Here is a 17,162-nt window from a genome sequence, read left to right on the forward strand (position 1 = left end):
TGCCTCAGCCTCCCGAGTAGCTAGGACCACAGGCGCGCCCAGCTAATTTCTGTATTTTTAGTAGAGACAGGGTTTCATCATGTTGGCCGGGATGGTCTCAATCTCCTGACCTCGTTATCCGCCCGCCTCGGCCTCCCAAAGTGCTGGGATTACAGGGGTGAACCACCGCGCCTGGCCTCAGAAACCATCTCCATCTCCCTTACCACCTGAGGGGTCACTGGTGACCACACCCATGGAATCGGCTGGATCTCCTGCGGGGCTGGACAATTTGACCCTCCTCCTCCCCAGGCCCCGCCCCTTCCCCCCTGAGTCTTTCGGCCTGGGTGGAGGACGCGGCTGCTTCAAGTCCTTGGCTCTGATCCAGGCCACAGATTCCAGGTTAGTGAGCAAGTTTATTTTCTGGCCAGCTACCGCTGTCCCCACTTGTCTGGAGAGTTTGACCCGCTCTGCAGGTCGGGTTGGGGGTGGTTCACGGGTGAAAGAAGAATGAGGGAGACTTCTGCATTTTCAAGTGAACTCAAGTTTGGGAAGGGAGCACAGAAGAGGCACCTTTGCAGCTGGGAATAGGCCGTGTAAAGAGAGTTAAACCTCTATTCTACAAGCTGAAGTATGTAGAGGAGGCAGCTCTGGAAACTGCTTTAGGGAATCACTGCAAACCATTTTGTCAGGCGTGGATTCAGAGTCAGCATCCCTTCCCCCCTTCCCCCGTTCTCCCCTTCCCCCCTTCCCCCTTCCCCCTTCCCCCTTCCCCCTTCCCCTCCCCCATCTCCAGCCTGGCCGCTCCAGGAAGTGAGCACCGTTTATCCCCCACCCCAGGCGGCCCGACTCCTCCCAGAAGGAGTTGGGAGATGAGCCTTCCGCAAACTCCTGACCTGTGGGTCCGTCCGTTCAACGGCCAAAGGCTGGCGGAGGAGGGATCCCCTGCCTTTCTCGGAACGGAACGGAGCAGAGTCGTGCGTGGTTGAGTTTAGATAAAAGCCGAGTGAGCGCGCTCTGTTCCTTAAGATTAGTTTAAGGTGCCTTGGATTGCTCTGAAGAGCTTTGACCACCTGATATTGCTTACATCTGGAACTTCTTGGCTTCTCATTCCCCAGATGTGCGGGTCAGAGAGGTATGTCTACCGTTCTGTTGACTGGCTCTTATTGTCACTTCTGGCAGAGGTGACAGGGCAGTGAAAGAGATAAGGTCCTTTCCCTTTCGGAACTCATTATATCTTTATTTCTTTTTCTTTCTCACTGCAAATGACCCCACTGAGGTTAGAGACATTTTAATCAGTCAGTCAATAGAGACAGAAATGTGTGGTTAGGAGCATAGATGCCGCAGCCAGACTGCATGTGTTCAAATCCTGACTCTGACAGACACTGGCTGTGTGCCCGAAGACTGTTAACTTGACTTCTTTGAGCTTTAGTTTCTTCCATCTATAAGATGGACGGAGTAATATGTATATCTTAGAGTTTTGGTGAGGATTGAGTGAGACAGATTTAAACACGTAGGAGGCTGCCTGACACAAATTATGGTCATTATTACTGGCAAACTCCATGCCTAGCTTTAAAAAAATGCACAATCAAAACAATTTTTAAATTATAGGTTTCTGAAATGCAGGGGGTAGAAATTCTTTTGAAGTGGAAATTAAATTTTTTGTTTTGAAACTGATTATGTTCCAATTCAAATATTTATTGAGTCCTGTTAGATAATCAATTGCAGATAATAGGTTAAATATAACCCTACACAAAGATAAAAAAAAATGTTATTCCTAAAGTGCAAGAACTCATGCCCAACTCACTTATAAATGCAACTGCCACCTATTTTATTCCACTTTCACTAGGGCTCCCAGCTGGTGGACGGGCCCGCTCTGTCATTCCTAACTCTGAACCCCCAGCCTACACCAGCCCCAGTATCCCCTGCTGAGTCACTGATTTTTATTCTGAAAGCCATTTTGATATCGATGCAAGCTTCCATTCTAAAAGATGCTTCGTATCTAAATAGCAGGCCATTCTCTGTCCCCCTCCCTCTTCTAGCTGTTTTGCACCCTAAATTGTATCCACCTGGGAAAGAAGGTCCTTTATCTAAGGCAGTGCTTCTGAAGCCTTAATGTGCGTAAGAATCACCTAGAGAACTTTAATATTAAAGTGCAGATTCTGAATCATTCCAGGAAAGACTGAGATTCTGCATAAAGAACTCCAAGTGCTTGCAGTGTTGCTAGTTAGCAGACCTTTTTCAGGCGTCTGGTTCTGATTTAATTGGTCCCACCTGGTTGTGAATTTGGGCTCTTTCTTCTGCTAATTTGATGCACTGGGCTCTGGGACTGCAGGCTCTTCTCGTCTGCACTCCTCACAGTCAGAATGCCTTCTCTCAGCCCGTCCACACTGCTCTGGAGACTTGGCCTCAGTTGGAAACTGGCAGCCTCCCATATCTCCCTTGGGCTGCACTTAGCTGCAGTGGGCAGTCAGGGCTTGCTGGTGTGTGGGCAAGGGTCACCTATGCTAACTGTATGCTCCCCTCCTTCACAATTTCTTTCCCAAGCCTCAGCTTTGACAAGAGACCTCAACTCTTACAAATCTTTTTTCTGCTCAAGAATTTTTCTCTGTCTAAAGAGAGTATTAGATGAATATCTACAGCGCATATTAGATAGGAAAAAGACATATAATGAACTAGAAATAGAATGAAGCCACATATGTAATGTTACATACTCAAGTAGCCTCATTAAAAATAAGCGGGTGAAATTAATTTTAATACATTTCATTTAACCCAATACATGCAAAATACAATTAGGACATGTGATCAACATAAAAAAATTAATAAGATCCTTTAACTTTTTTAAACTAAATCTTCAAAATCCAATGTGTATTTTGTACCTAAAGCAACCCATTTCTGAGTAGCCACACTTCAAATGCTCAAGAGCCATATCTGGCTACATGTTTGACAACACAGTTCCATTATGCTTAGAAGATCAGAAACCAAGCTTTTAATTTTTCTTGTATTTTTTTGTTTCTGTCAGTTTATTGAGTTCTATCTAGTAAGTTACAAATTGTAAGCATACAGTTCTGTGAATTTTCACAGTTGCAGTCAGCTGTGTAACCACCACCATGATCATGATACATAAAGGGCATTTCCCTTTATGTATTCACCCTTCAAATTTCCTTATGCCCTTTGCAGTTCAAACTTTTCTCCCACTCCTGGGCCCTGGCTTCCACTGATGTACTTTCAAATACCATAGCTTTCTCTTTTCTAGGATTTCACATAAATAGCATCATACAATAACTTAAATTTGATGTTTGGGTTCTTTCACTTTGCATGCTTTTGAGATTTATCTTGTTGTATATATTAACAGTTTAATTGTTTGGTAATATGCCACTGTATGGATACACCACAGTTTGTTCATTTACCAGTTAGTGATGTCATGGATTCTTTTCAGTTTGGGACTATTACTACATTGCATTTATGAGGCAGTAGTTCTCCTTCAAGAGAATTGGGTACGCTAAATACAGTTTTGCCTGAAATGAAAGTGTGCATGTGTTTGTTGGGGAGGATGAATTGGAATTGGACTTTCAATTAAAATATAATACCAATACAATTATTATATTTATTTATTTATTTATTTATTTATTTATTTATTTTGAGACGGAGTCTCGCTCTGTCGCCCAGGCTGGAGTGCAGTGGCACGATCTCGACTCACTGCAAGCTCCACCTTCCGGGTTCACGCCATTCTCCTGCCTCAGCCTCCCGAGTAGCTGGGACTACAGGCATCCGCCACTACACCCAGCTAAATTTTTGTATTTTTAGTAGAGACAGGGTTTCACCGTGTTAGCCAGGATGGTCTCGATCTCCTGACCTTGTGATCCGCCTGCCTCAGCCTCCCAAAGTGCTGGGATTACAGGCTTGGGCCACCGCGCCCGGCCAACACAATTATTTTTTAACAGTAACACTTTGATAAGATAGCACATTTATTTCTATACTCTAGTGCCAACATCAAGGCCAACTATAAGCTCAGCAGTAAGCTATAATTTTCAATCCATTATAAAGTTAATTGATCATTTCCTGTGTTAGCTGCAGTGCTAAGGTCTGGGGCACCTGGAAGATAAATAGAGCCTCTATTGCCTCTAGAGCCTCTATTGCCTCTATTATCAAAGGCAATAGAGCCTTATAGTGCAGTGTGCTAAGTGAGATGATGTGGGTATGGTAGGAGATATTAACAAAGGAAATAATAGTGCAGTTCCCACAGGTGTGATTAATTTGGTTAAACAGACTCTCAGATGATAGGTAAATACGTCTGTAACACCAATTAGTACTACCAGTTAGATGCACAGAGTTCATTAATTTGTTAATTATATTTTGCACCCTTTATGGAGATGAGGAATATAAGGGAGTAATAAGAGCTCCAGCTCTGCAGCCTGCGTATCTGCATTCAACACCGGCCCCGCCACTTGAAAGATCTACTAAATACCAGTTTATACAACTATGAGATGAGATTTAAGGGACATTCATAATGTTGTTATGTGGAATTATTGAGTTATTATGTACAAAATAATTAAATTCTTGCTGAATACCTAATGGGCTTTCTGTAGATATTTGCTGTGAGCATCGCTGCTGCTAAGCATGGCAAAGCTGAAGAGCCAGGCTAGTACTTGCAGAAGCACCACAGAACACTAGATGGCAGCGCCAAGAACCTGTTTTCGGCTCGCTAGATCCCCCAGCAGGGCCGCTAGGAGGCTTATGCTTACATCCCATGACTTTTTCTTACCCTTATCTGAGACACTTTCTCAGGCCCTTTCTTCTAAGGGGAGTGTTGTTATTGGGAGGCAGTTTGATATACTTTTTAAATCCACCAGGTCCTCAAGATGGGGGTAAATTGGTACAATTTACAGGGCCTTGTGTTGAGGCCCACACGGACTGTTTTTTACATCAGTGTACATTTACTTTTGCTGGGAAACCAGCCAAAGACAAGTTAGAGAATTCTGCCTGCTCCCTACGCACTGTGGCCTGTTCAGAACAGCGAGGTCACGCCTGGAACCAGGGCCAGAGCTTCACATAGGCAGTGTTAGCTGGCTCTTCTTTGGTGGCCCAAACACAACTCCAGGTAGACAAGCAGAACAAATGGCTCCCAGTGAAAATAACTCAGTGCTGGAAACAGTTTTAAAAATTTTCTAAAGAGTATTCTCAGTGTGATTTTAAACAATGGTAACGTAATTTATCAACAACTCTTCCAAGAAAAATAGACAATAAAGGTCATATTTCTCAATGAAGATATAAGGTCTCAACTGCCTTACCGGCCACCTCTCCTTACATATGGACCCCCTTAGGATCCTGCTGAAGTTTAAGACAGGCCCTGGCAAAATCCCATCATCAAATAGGATCTCTCTCATTTCCATACTTCGAAAGCACTTGGTCCATGCCTGACTTTCACAGCCTTTACCACTGACTGTCTTTGGTCAAAGTTATGAGTTTGAGGACGAAGCTTTGAACTAGCACCCTGGAAAGGTTAGGTTATGCCAATTCTACAACTTACAAGGTGCATGATTGTGTAAAGTCACTTAATGTCTCTTCTTATTAAAGAATGGAGAATACTCTTATTTATGCAGAGTTGTCCATGAGGGATAAAGAAAGCAAGAGAATGTGATTTCTAAATCACAACTGGTTACAGAATCATGAGTTGTAAAAATATTACCTCCCCAGGCTGGGCGCAGTGGCTCACGCTTGTAATCCCAGCACTTTGGGAGGCCAAGGCAGGCAGATCACTTGAGGTCAGGAGTTCGAGATCAGCCTGGCCAACATGGTAAAACCCTGTCTCTACTAAAAATACAAAAATTAGCTGGGCATGGTGGCGCTCACCTGTAATCCCAGCTACTCAGGAGGCTGAGGCACGAGAATCGCTTGAACCCGGGAGGCAGAGGTTGCAGTGAGCCGAGATAGTGCCACTGCCCTCCAGCCTGGGCGATAGAGCAAGACTCAGTTTCAACAACAACAAAAAAATTACCACCCCTTATTGTGGCCATTGCTGTTTCTTTGGTTTTTTTCTGAGAAGGCGAGCATGTGGTGAGAGGGCTCTATGTGGAGCAGGGCCGTTAAGAAGTGGAAGTGTTTTCACAGTCTTAGAGATCAGATACCAGAGAGTGATGCAAAGGTGATGGCAGAGAGGTGAAAGAGCTCATGGAAAGGTCACAGATGATCACTGTAGAGGATGAGGGGGTTCTGACCCCCTCATTCATCCAAAGTTGAGGACCTATATGTCAGGCTCTATGCTAGCTGCCGAAGATACAACCATGAACAAAAAGTCTCAGATCTCATGGAGCTTACATTTCACTGCGAGGATTCAAACAAGTAAAGATCTGTATTAAGTGGTGTAAGAAGTAAAATAGACCGGGTGCAGTGGCTCATGCCTGTAGTCCCAACCCTTTGGGAGGCCAAGGCGGGCGGATCATGAGGTCAGGAGATCGAGACCATCCTGGCTAACACAGTGAAACCTCATCTCTACTAAAAAATACAAAAAAAATTAGCCGGACATAGTGGCAGGCACCTGTAATCCCAGCTACTCGGGAGGCTGAGGCAGGAGAATGGCTTGAACCCAGGAGGCGGAGCTTGCAGTGAGTCGAGATCACGCCACTGCACTCCAGCCTGGGCGACAGAGCAAGACCCCCTAATGAGGTGAATATGTGGAGAGTGATTGTATGGTGGCTGTGCTCTAAATAGACTAGTCAGAGCAGACCCTTCTGATAAGGGAATAGGTAGGAAGCTAGTAAGTCATGCAGATAGCAGAGTAAAGGGTCATCTTTACATCACGAACGACAAATGCAAAAATCCTGAGGCAGCAGTGTGTTTTAGGTGCTTTTAACATTGAGGATATGTTTTGGGTGAGAAAAGGTCACACAGTCTCCAGGTGCGGTGGCTCATGCCTGTAATTCCAGCACTGTGAGAGGCCAAGGCAGGAGCATCACTTAAGGTCAGGAGTTCAAGACCACCCTGGCTAACATGGTGAAACTCCATCTCTACTAAAAATACAAAAACTAGCCAGGTGTTGTGGCACGTGCCTGTAATCCCAGCTACTCAGGAGGCTGAGGCAGGAGAATTGCTTGAACCTGGGAGGCGGAGATTGCAGTGAGCTGAGATTGTACCACTGCATTCCAGCCTGGGTGACAGAGTGAGTCTCCATCTCAAAAAAGAAAAAAAAGAAAAGATCACACAGACAGTGACTCACACAGGCCCCTCCTTTCCAGGGCCTCAGTTTGTCTCTATTCAATAGGAGCAAGAGGAAATTATCACTGCTTTAATATGGGGAGAAATTGGTGCCTTGTATGAGCCGGGATAAAGAACGTATTGGATATGAGAATGAGAAGCCCTTGTTACCCCAGGTGTCTGACCTCTTTATCCAGGACTGGGCAGTCAGTATTCCCTTATTCTCCCTCCTTTCTTACCCTGATCCTTTTTTTGTTTGTTCATCTACCTAGGATTCTACAGGCAGGAAACATCTTAGAAATCAGGGTTGGGCAGGCAGGAGCCAGGAGAGTAGCTACAATGACTTCACCAGTACTGGTGGACATACGAGAAGAGGTGACCTGCCCTATCTGCCTGGAGCTCCTAACAGAACCCCTGAGCATAGACTGTGGCCACAGCTTCTGCCAAGCCTGCATCACACCAAATGGCAGGGAATCAGTGATTGGTCAAGAAGGGGAAAGAAGCTGCCCTGTGTGCCAGACCAGCTACCAGCCAGGGAACCTGCGGCCTAATCGGCATCTGGCCAACATAGTGAGGCGGCTCAGAGAGGTAGTGTTGGGCCCTGGGAAGCAGCTGAAAGCAGTTCTTTGTGCAGACCATGGAGAAAAACTGCAGCTCTTCTGTCAGGAGGATGGGAAGGTCATTTGCTGGCTTTGTGAGCGGTCTCAGGAGCACCGTGGTCACCACACGTTCCTCGTGGAGGAGGTTGCCCAGGAGTACCAGGTGAGACCCCAGGATGGAATGGGAGACAGAGAAACAGGGTCTTTGGCAGGTTTTAACGTTTTATCATGCTCTGATCTAATCTCTTTGTAGTCTTTATTTACCTAGAGAATGAACCTGGAAACTGCCTCCCTGATTAAGAATAGATTCTTTATCATTTACTTGCTATTCCAGATTGAGTAGATAGAGCTGCTTGGGGTAAAAGGGGTACTTGGTTGATTGAGTGTGGAGATATGTTGGCAGGGTAGGTAAAGGAATTTATTTACTCATGTATTTATTTTGAGAAGGCGTCTCGCTCTGTCGCCCAGGTTGGAGTGCAGTGGTGCGATCCCGGCTCACTGCAACCTCCGCCTCCCGGGTTCAAGCAGTTCTCGTGCCTGGCCTCCCAAGTAGCTAGGACTGTAGGTGTGCACCACCATGCCCAGCTAATTGTGTGTGTGTGTGCGTGTGTGTGTGTGTTTAGTAGAGATGGGGTTTTGCCATGTTGCCCAGGCTGATCTCAAACTCCTGAGCTCAGGCAATCCACCCGCCTCAGCCTCCCAAAGTGCTGGGATTACAGGCGTGAGCCACAGGTGCTTTGTGGTCAGGCACCTTCCCAAGGGGGATGGAGAATCAGCCTATCCCTGTTGGTTTTCATCCCATGTATATATATAAAAGATTTGTTGGCCCTCTCAAGTTTTCATCCTAGGTTAGGACAGGCTTCTTTTGAGGTTAGCAGAATCTCTGTCCCATTCATTCTATGTCTGGGTACTGAGTCAACTGAAGGCTTGATCCTGCTTGACCTGATTTGTTTTCTTCAAGGAGAAGTTTCAGGAGTCTCTAAAGAAGCTGAAGAACGAGGAGCAGGAAGCTGAGAAGCTAACAGCTTTTATCAGAGAGAAGAAAACATCCTGGAAGGCAAGGGAGACTTTTTCTGAAGATGTCCTGGGGCAGGAATCATGGCAGGTCATAGGAGCTGAGGGCAAAGGAGTCCTTGTCCTGTCTGTCCTCTGATGCCATGACTAGAAGAGCTTCCCTTTGCCTGGTCCTCCACTATATTCCTTCCAAACAGGGGGAGGAGAGGAGGTAAATAGCAAATATATCAAAACTGAACCTAGGAGACAATCACATAGCAGAGGAACCATGGCTAGGGGTCGCCCCAATTCATAATTCTGGGTCTTGCTCTACAGTTTCAGTCTCTTTGGCTTTTCCCTTGCATTCAGAGTACAAATGCAAGGGAAAATGCAGGTAAGGCTTGTGAAGAAGCCCAGATCTGAGACAGGTTAGTCACAGGCCAGTGATTTCCACCTCAGTACTCGAAATTGGAAGAGGAGGCTGATGCAGAGGTGAGGGAGGCTTCCTGGAATCTAAACGTCACCCAGGAATCACAGTTGATGTCTAGATGGCCTAGATAAAGCAGCCCGGGGCCAATGGTCTGGGCAGAGCTGAAGGGAGAAAAGAAGGAAAGAACAGGCTACAAAGGCTTTCTCCTGCAGCATTTACCCTCCCTCTCCCTGGGAGGCTTGGCCCAGGAAAGCAGTCCTGAGCCCAACTTCCCCGCTTTTAATAGAGGAGACCCTCAGTGTGACCGACTAGCAGCCTCTTTTTCTTCCCTGTTCCTGAAGAATCAGATGGAGCCTGAGAGATGCAGGATCCAGACAGAGTTTAATCAGCTGCGAAATATCCTAGACAGAGTGGAGCAACGGGAGCTGAAAAAGCTGGAACAGGAAGAGAAGAAGGGGCTACGAATTATAGAAGAGGCTGAGAATGATCTGGTCCACCAGACCCAGTCGCTGCGAGAGCTCATCTCGGATCTGGAGCGTCGATGTCAGGGGTCAACAATGGAGCTGCTGCAGGTAAGGCTTGTGAAGGAGCCCAGATCTGAGAGTCAAGGAAAAGAGAAACTAACTTTCCTTCCTTTCTGGGACATCAGACTACCATCGTTGCAGGGACAAGAGAAAACATTCCTTTGGCGCTATAGTGCCTATCCCCTATTAAACTGTTTAGAGGTATGGAGTAAAGCGTAAGATAATTCAGAGTACAAATGCAAGGGAAAGTCCCATTTTTATTTATAAAGGGTTGTCTAAAAGTTTATTTGATGCTGTGGAGAAGTTCTGTTGTATCCAGTGATGTTGTTCTTTCTTTCTCAGTCTTGGCACTATTTACATTTCTGGCTGGATAATTCTTTGCTGCGTGGGGTTCTCCTGTACATTGTAGGATGCTTAGCAGCGTCTCTGGCCTCTGCTCACTAGATGTCAGCAGCACCACCCCAGATGTGACAACCCCAAATTTCTTCAGACATTGCCACGATAGCCCCAGGGTGAACACAGTGCTCTCCCAGTTGAGAACCACTGTTCATTAGGCACCTCTCGTCTCTGATGCTGTGTTGGGAATTTGCCAAGTGCTTCTTACCCAGCTTAGTCACAGGCACACTTACGCCAAGCTAAATTCTTAGAGATGATGTATTACCAGCCCTTCTTTGTTTTCACTCTCTTCTCTAGAGCAGAATCATTTAACATACTGTAGCAATTGATATTTGAACTGGTTTTGGGGGTCTGGGCTCTGGTCTGTATGTGTGTAGGTCGCAGATTACAAGGTATCAAGCCTAGAGAGATTTGATGGAGGGACTTGAACTGAGGTTGAAATTCTAGCAGCTATTTTCTGCATAGAATGAATAGTGTGGTTGTGAATTTGAGGCATGATGTAGCTTGTGATATTCTGTAACCTTCAGAGTGTAAGATATTCTTTATATTTTGTTTGTCTTCGTGCTTTCCTCTTGCTCCTTCTTTCTTGGTGGAATAATTGTTTATTTACATATTCTTGGGTCTTAGTATTAGAGCCATGGGTAGCTACTTTCTGCCTGTTACAGCTTTTTCTCATTCACTGCTTCCTGCTTTGCATCTTCATTTTATTCTTCTTGCCTTTTTGTCCTCATCATTGATATTATTACCCTGATACTTTCTCCTTCACCTTTTGTTCTGGCTCCTCAACAGTCCTCAAACTGTAAATATTTTTTAAATGCAAATGAATCGTCAATTCATATTGCTAGTTTAGACACTTCCACATTCATTAGTATGACTGCCCCACGGACATTTAAACTTGAGTAGTCTTTTCTAAAAATAAACTTTCTGGAATTTTCCCATCACAGACATTGTTCTTTCTCTTTTCCATATCTGTGTGAATTGTTGCCCATTAAGATTTTATAGCCAAGGCCGAGCGCGGTGGCTCACGCCTGTAATCCCAGCACTTTGGGAGGCCGAGGCAGGCGGATCATGAGGTCAGGAGATTGAGACCATCCTGGCTAACACGGTGAAACCCCGTCTCTACTAAAAACACAAAAAAATTAGCCGGGCGTGGTGGCGGGCGCCTGTAGTCCCAGCTACTCGGGAGGCTGAGGCAGGAGAATGGCGCGAACCCAGGAGGCGGAGCGTGCAGTGAGCCGAGATCGCACCACTGCACTCCAGCCTGGGCGACAGAGCAAGACTCCATCTCAAAAAAAAAAAATATTTTATAGCCAAGATAAAAGCTTCAAAATATGGACATAAAGCCAACATAAGAGAAGTAGCCACATGAAATAGCACATCGATTTGATCATTTCAGTTCCTCAGTACAGCCACAATGTAAGATTGATACAATCCTGGATATTTACTGCAAATTGACACACACAGCACCTCTACCACATTCTATGTTCAAGCCAGTTTGAGTTGTGCCTCTATGAAATGCCACCATAAACAGCCCTAATACAGAGAAAATAGTTAATCCTGTATTATGTGGACCAAACTTAAGCTTTTCTTCGGGGTCATTGAGATGTATGGAGCACAAGATAAAAAGACCAAATAGAAAGGAATAGGCCAATTCCACAGAAATGAGACTAGCAGTGGCAGTGATAAAGGTGAACAACTGGTGACCAAATGAAATTGAGGATGTGAAGTGGACTGACTTGGGCAAAGATAGGATGCCAGGGTGAATATATGGTAGTTATTTCCTATTTTGTTTAAATTTGGTGACTTAAGTGGTTGCTAGTGTGATTCAGTAGGATGGAAGGGAGACAAGAGTTGCCGAACTAAGTTCTTTTAAACATCTTGCATTTGAGGTACCTGTGACATATTTGCTGGTGTATATATTAATCAAAATCATAAGGAAAGGGGGCTGAGCAGAAGTACAGATTTGAGAATCATCAACATGTGTACATTAAAATGAAGGAAATGGATGAAGTCAGCAAAGGTAGGGTAGAAGGTTAGAGAAGGTGAAGTTTGAGAAACAGCCATATATAAAGTCCATGAGCCTGTATCTTCAGCAACCAGAACAGGATGTAAGCTACTCAAGGATAGAAATTATGACTTCATCATCTGAGGTTCTCTAGGCCAGGCACAATGCCTGACAAATAATACATGCTATACATACATAACATTACACACACATATGCACACACACAATGTTGTGAAAATCAAGACACTGATGAGTCAATTGAGTTATTTTTTGATGTCTTCACATGGGTTCTTAGGGACAGTCTGCCCTGAGTTTTTTCTCTACTTTGTGGCCTCCACATTAGGATTATCTTTATTTGTATCATATCATGGGGTAGGGGACATGGAAGGAGAAATGTGGATAAGGGCATGACCTGTTACTCCTTGACTTAACCTGTCTTTTTCCTTCCTAGGATGTGAGTGATGTCACAGAAAGGTATGTGTAAGGAGAACATGAGGTAGTTCCCCTGGACTGACAAATGATTCCTTTACCCATGATCAGTGGGAAAGGGAAGAAGAATCAGAGTGGGGAAGATTCAAGAGAGTAGTCTTGAATCGCGCATCACATGGAGTTTTGGCATCCCCAAATAAAGGGGATGAACTGGCCTCTCTGGTAGGAAAATGTGGGTGATGGGAGGTCAGTAGGTGGGGACAGTACTGTTATTTAGAATAAAGAGTTGCAGTATTGCGCCACTGCACTCCAGCCTGGGAGACAAAGGGAGACTCTGCCTCAAACAAACAAAAAAAAATGAATAAAGAGTTGCAGTATCAGTGACTCCCCAAGTACCCTGTTAGTGTACTTTTCCATAAACCTCTGTGCCTGCTTTCATCCCTGATTCTTAAGTTTATAGTTACCTCAAAATACACAGGAATTTTCTTTGCCCATAAATTTTTTTTTTTTTTTTTTTTTGAGACAGAGTTTCACTCTGTCGCCCAGGCTGGAGTGCAGTGGTGTGATCTCGGCTCACTGCACCTTCCTGCCCGTGAATTTTATCAGAGTGACATTCCCATCTGCATTATTTCTCAAGGTCTAAGAATTTGGTCTTGGCACATCTGCCTTAAGTTTTTCTTTCTCCCAGGCCTTGCTCCCTAGTAGATTTTCTTTTGTCTCAATTCCAGTAAAAACGTAAACCCGAGCTCTGGAGGATAATAATTTAGCCCGGGAATCAAACATGTTCTCTATCACATACTCCAGAGTCTCATCCAACAAGGTGACATGTCAAGCTGCTTGCACACTTGGTTCCTCCATGCTCCTCACAGACACACGAAATGGGAACCCTATCGTCCCTTCTGAAATCTGTACTCTCCGTTTGGAGGTGAGGACATCTTTTCTCCAGCTAGTGGCATAACATTCCCAGAGACGGCAAATCCTAAAATGCTGTTTTGAAGGTTTTCTGAGAAATCCCAGGGCCTAAGCCCACAGACTCTTCTGAAGAAACCCCTTCATTTGATACTTTCAAAGCCCCAGCAATAGGCCCCTGGTGTTCTGCCTGTCAACCCAGACATCTTCAACCCCTCTGATTTTAAATATTTTATATCTTTTTTTAGAGGTAGCAAAAGATTTCCAAGCCATTATTTTACTGAACTGCATAACATCTCTAGGACACAGAAAAAGGAAAATTATAGTATTTTCTAAAAACAACAACAGAAAAACAAAATGAGACTTTAAGAAGTTAAATCTTGGACAGGCGCAGTGACTCACACCTGTAATCCCAGCACTTTGGGAGGCTGAGGAGGGCAGATCACGAGGTCAGGAGATCAAAACCATCCTGGCTAACATGATGAAACCCTATCTCTACTAAATATACAAGAAAATTAGCCAGGCGTGGTGGCACGCGCCTGTAGTCCCAGCTACTCAGAAGGCTGAGGCAGGAGAATCGCTTGAACCTGGGAGGTGGAGGTTGCAGTGAGCCGAGATCGTGCCACTGCACTCCAGCCTGGGTGACAGAGCGAGACTCCTTCTCAAAAAAAAAAGTTAAATCTTACACAAGTTTATGTAGATGGTGAGATGATAGTTTCTAGTCTAGCTCTTCTGGCTCCAGTGCCAGGGCTGTTTGCAGAATGATGCTAAGTGTATTCAGAAAGGAGGATTGGAATTCATCAGTAGGCTTGGGAGGTAAGGGAGATGGGTGGTGGAGGAACCCACAGTCAGCAGTGTGGGAACTCAGAAGTCCTGTCCTTTCTAGGAGTGAGTTCTGGACCCTGAGGAAGCCAGAAGCTCTCCCTACAAAGCTGAGAAGTATGTTCCGAGCCCCAGATCTGAAAAGGATGCTGCGAGTGTGTAGAGGTAAGGAGATTCAGGGGAAAGAGTTTGGATGTGAAATTACTGTCGTGGGAAGAAATAAACGGGATAGAGGCTATAGTCGGTATTTGAGCATAGTGGCAAAGAGGGAGGTCCCAGAGGGAGGGACATAGTGTGCTGAAGAAGATGCGGTTTGTATTTAAGGGGAGATGAAATGGCCAGGTGACATCCTCACAGGATTCCTCACCATTCCCCTCAATGTAGTAAGGAGAGAGATACCAGACATGAGACAGTTGGTCCTATTCAACATTATTGACTCTTTTCATCATTACAGAGCTGACAGATGTCCAAAGCTACTGGGGTAAGTAGAAGCCATGGCCTCTTTGGGCTGGCACATTCTGATCTCCTTTCACATGCCCTCCCCAGACATAGCCACACAGATCCTAGGTGTTGATGCCTCCCCCATCCCCGCCATATAGTTCCAGTTCCTCCAACCACTTCCTGTGTTTCCTCTTCTCAGCATAACGAGACCCATGTCCCCGTTCTCATCTGCTGATGTTGTACCTTTTCCTACAGTTGACGTGACCCTGAATCCACACACAGCTAATTTAAATCTTGTCCTGGCTAAAAACCGGAGACAAGTGAGGTTTGTGGGAGCTAAAGTATCTGGACCTTCCTGTCTGGAAAAGCATTATGACTGTAGTGTCCTGGGCTCCCAGCACTTCTCCTCTGGTAAGCATTACTGGGAGGTAGATGTGGCCAAGAAGACTGCCTGGATCCTGGGGGTATGCAGCAATTCACTGGGACCTACATTCTCTTTCAACCATTTTGCTCAAAATCACAGTGCTTACTCCAGGTATCAGCCTCAGAGTGGATACTGGGTGATTGGGTTACAGCATAACCATGAATATAGGGCCTATGAGGATTCTTCCCCTTCCCTGCTTCTCTCCATGACAGTGCCCCCTCGCCGTGTTGGGGTTTTCTTAGATTATGAGGCTGGTACTGTCTCCTTTTATAATGTCACAAACCATGGCTTCCCCATCTACACTTTCTCTAAATATTACTTTCCCACTACTCTTTGTCCATATTTTAATCCTTGCAACTGTGTAATTCCTATGACCCTGCGTCGTCCAAGCTCTTGAATATTCTTCTGTTCCCACCCACTTCTGATAAGTACCCTGAGGCTTATCAGCATGTGATTCTCCCTTCTGATCTTCTGTTTTTCTGTGTTCTCAATTCTTTTGTTGTTTTTTGGTTTTTGAATCTTTTTTGAGATGGAATCTCGCTCTGTCGCCCAGGCTGGAGTGCACTGGCGCAATCTCGGCTCACTGCAACCTCTGCCTCCTGGGTTCAAGCGAACCTCCTGCCTCAGCATCCCAAGTAGCTGGGATTACAGGCACCCACCACCATGCCCAACTAATTTTTGTATTTTTATAGAGATAGGGTTTCACCGTGTTGGCCAGGCTGATCTCGAACTCCTGACCGCAAGTGATCCACCCGCCTCGGTCTCCCAAAGTGCTGGGATTACAGATGTGAGCCGCCGCGCCCAGACAGTTCTTTCGTTTTAAACAGTTACTCAGTACTAGGATGCACCCAGTGGTGAGAGTAAGCATCTTTGACTGATGACAGGTCTTGAGGTGGATAGGGGGCGCTTTCAGTATTTTGCCATTAAGCATAGTATTTGATGCAGGTTTTTTTTGATTGATGCAGGGGATCAAATTTAGGAAGTTCTGATCTGTTAATTTACTACAAGTTTTTGTATAAAATGAAAACTCGTATTCTACCTATGTCTTTTCTGTAAATTATTGAGACAATTGTGTATCATTTTTGTTCTGTTAATGTGGCTTAGTACATTGATTTACTTCAATTTGTTACCACAACTTGCTGAAATACACCATTATTATTTGTTGTATGCAATACTGGATTTATTTTGATAACGTATTGTTTAGATTTTGTTCTCATCTATGTTAATGAAAGAAATTGGCCTGTATTTTTACATTCTTGTAATATCTTTGCCAGGTTCTATAAAATGCAATAATAAGCAAATAAATTACTTTGTTTTTGTATAAGTATGTATAGGATTGAGCTCTAAAACCAAACCATTATAATGATAATTTGGGTAGCTTCAAACTCAAATTGAAGAGAGTCTTCACTACAATCTTCACTACAACCTTTGGCCTTCCTCTCTACATTTAAGAGTAGCAATAGAACAATAAAAAAAAATACGTCTTTCAAATTAATTGCAGTAAAAACAAAAGAGTAGTGGGGAGAGAAAAACAATCCAATACATATTTTTCTCTCAGAATAGAAAGAAAACACAAAGAGAAAATATGAACAATATAAAGCACTTAAAGGAAGAGGATGATTTCTTCCAGCTTTTCCACACTCTCTTTATGCGCAGGAACAAACAGCTGTTGAGTGAGCTGCTATGACTTTGGTAGAGAGGTGCAATATGTTTTTTGAACCAGCTATAAAAGAAATTAAGAGGTACATGTGAGGGTAGAAACAAATATCAAGGATGAGAATGGCACTGGCTGTCCCATATGGTATCCAGGAGCCACCAATGTCTGTTGAGTACTTCATACATGCCTAGTCTGAATTGAGATGTGCTCAATGTATAAAATATATACCAGATTTCAAATACCTACTTCAAAAAATAATGTAAAATATCTCACTAATAACTTTTCCTTTGTGTATTGCAATGATAATATGTTGGCTCTATTGGATTAAATAAAGTATGTTATTCATTTTACCTGTTTCATTTT

General features: G+C 44.4%; 3 protein-coding genes across 9 annotated transcripts in view, besides 4 other annotated features; 2 read left to right on the forward strand and 1 right to left on the reverse strand.

Moving 5' to 3' along the window:
- Nucleotides 1-17,162, reverse strand: part of TRIM5 (tripartite motif containing 5) — a 96,440-nt gene that overhangs the window by 7,169 nt on the left and 72,109 nt on the right. The gene's annotated exons all lie outside the window — the stretch shown is intronic.
- Nucleotides 156-450: an enhancer, noted in NCBI's record as "tiled region #11830; HepG2 Activating non-DNase unmatched - State 10:DNaseD". NCBI's record gives its function as "activates a minimal TATA promoter and a strong SV40 promoter by Sharpr-MPRA in HepG2 cells {active_cell/tissue: HepG2}" and the evidence as "EXISTENCE:reporter gene assay evidence [ECO:0000049][PMID:27701403]".
- TRIM6 (tripartite motif containing 6) lies at nt 308-17,149 on the forward strand. Of its 4 annotated transcripts, none has more exons than NM_058166.5 (8): nt 308-378; nt 7,443-7,932; nt 8,731-8,826; nt 9,534-9,764; nt 12,569-12,591; nt 14,342-14,442; nt 14,732-14,758; nt 14,974-17,149. In NM_058166.5, the coding sequence occupies exons 2-8, from the start codon at nt 7,510-7,512 to the stop codon at nt 15,537-15,539; spliced, it is 1,467 nt and encodes a 488-aa protein (NP_477514.1). In that variant the 5' UTR covers nt 308-378; nt 7,443-7,509; the 3' UTR covers nt 15,540-17,149. The 4 variants fall into 4 exon arrangements, with proteins under 4 accessions (NP_477514.1, NP_001003818.1, NP_001185573.1 ...); NM_001003818.3 differs by lacking the exon at nt 308-378 and adding an exon at nt 834-1,111; NM_001198644.2 differs by lacking the exons at nt 308-378; nt 7,443-7,932 and adding an exon at nt 834-1,111.
- Nucleotides 605-1,522: an enhancer, noted in NCBI's record as "NANOG-H3K27ac-H3K4me1 hESC enhancer chr11:5617638-5618555 (GRCh37/hg19 assembly coordinates)". NCBI's record gives its function as "activates a minimal SCP1, AML or CMV promoter by ChIP-STARR-seq in naive H9 embryonic stem cells {active_cell/tissue: H9 hESC(naive)}" and the evidence as "EXISTENCE:reporter gene assay evidence [ECO:0000049][PMID:30033119]".
- Nucleotides 769-818: an enhancer, noted in NCBI's record as "active region_4326". NCBI's record gives its function as "activates an Ori minimal core promoter by ATAC-STARR-seq in GM12878 lymphoblastoid cells {active_cell/tissue: GM12878}" and the evidence as "EXISTENCE:reporter gene assay evidence [ECO:0000049][PMID:35858748]".
- TRIM6-TRIM34 (TRIM6-TRIM34 readthrough) overlaps nt 834-17,162 on the forward strand; it is a 47,762-nt gene continuing 31,433 nt past the window's right edge. The window contains exons 1-7 of the mRNA NM_001003819.4: nt 834-1,111; nt 7,443-7,932; nt 8,731-8,826; nt 9,534-9,764; nt 12,569-12,591; nt 14,342-14,442; nt 14,732-14,758. Coding sequence (NP_001003819.1) covers nt 1,095-1,111; nt 7,443-7,932; nt 8,731-8,826; nt 9,534-9,764; nt 12,569-12,591; nt 14,342-14,442; nt 14,732-14,758 — 985 coding nt within the window. The 5' untranslated portion in view covers nt 834-1,094. The remainder of the gene's footprint in view (nt 1,112-7,442; nt 7,933-8,730; nt 8,827-9,533; nt 9,765-12,568; nt 12,592-14,341; nt 14,443-14,731; nt 14,759-17,162) is intronic.
- Nucleotides 4,556-4,850: an enhancer, noted in NCBI's record as "tiled region #4679; K562 Activating DNase matched - State 5:Enh". NCBI's record gives its function as "activates a minimal TATA promoter and a strong SV40 promoter by Sharpr-MPRA in K562 cells {active_cell/tissue: K562}" and the evidence as "EXISTENCE:reporter gene assay evidence [ECO:0000049][PMID:27701403]".

This window comes from Homo sapiens, chromosome 11 (genome assembly GCF_000001405.40).
Source record: "Homo sapiens chromosome 11, GRCh38.p14 Primary Assembly".
NCBI classification, from domain to species: Eukaryota; Metazoa; Chordata; class Mammalia; order Primates; family Hominidae; genus Homo; species Homo sapiens.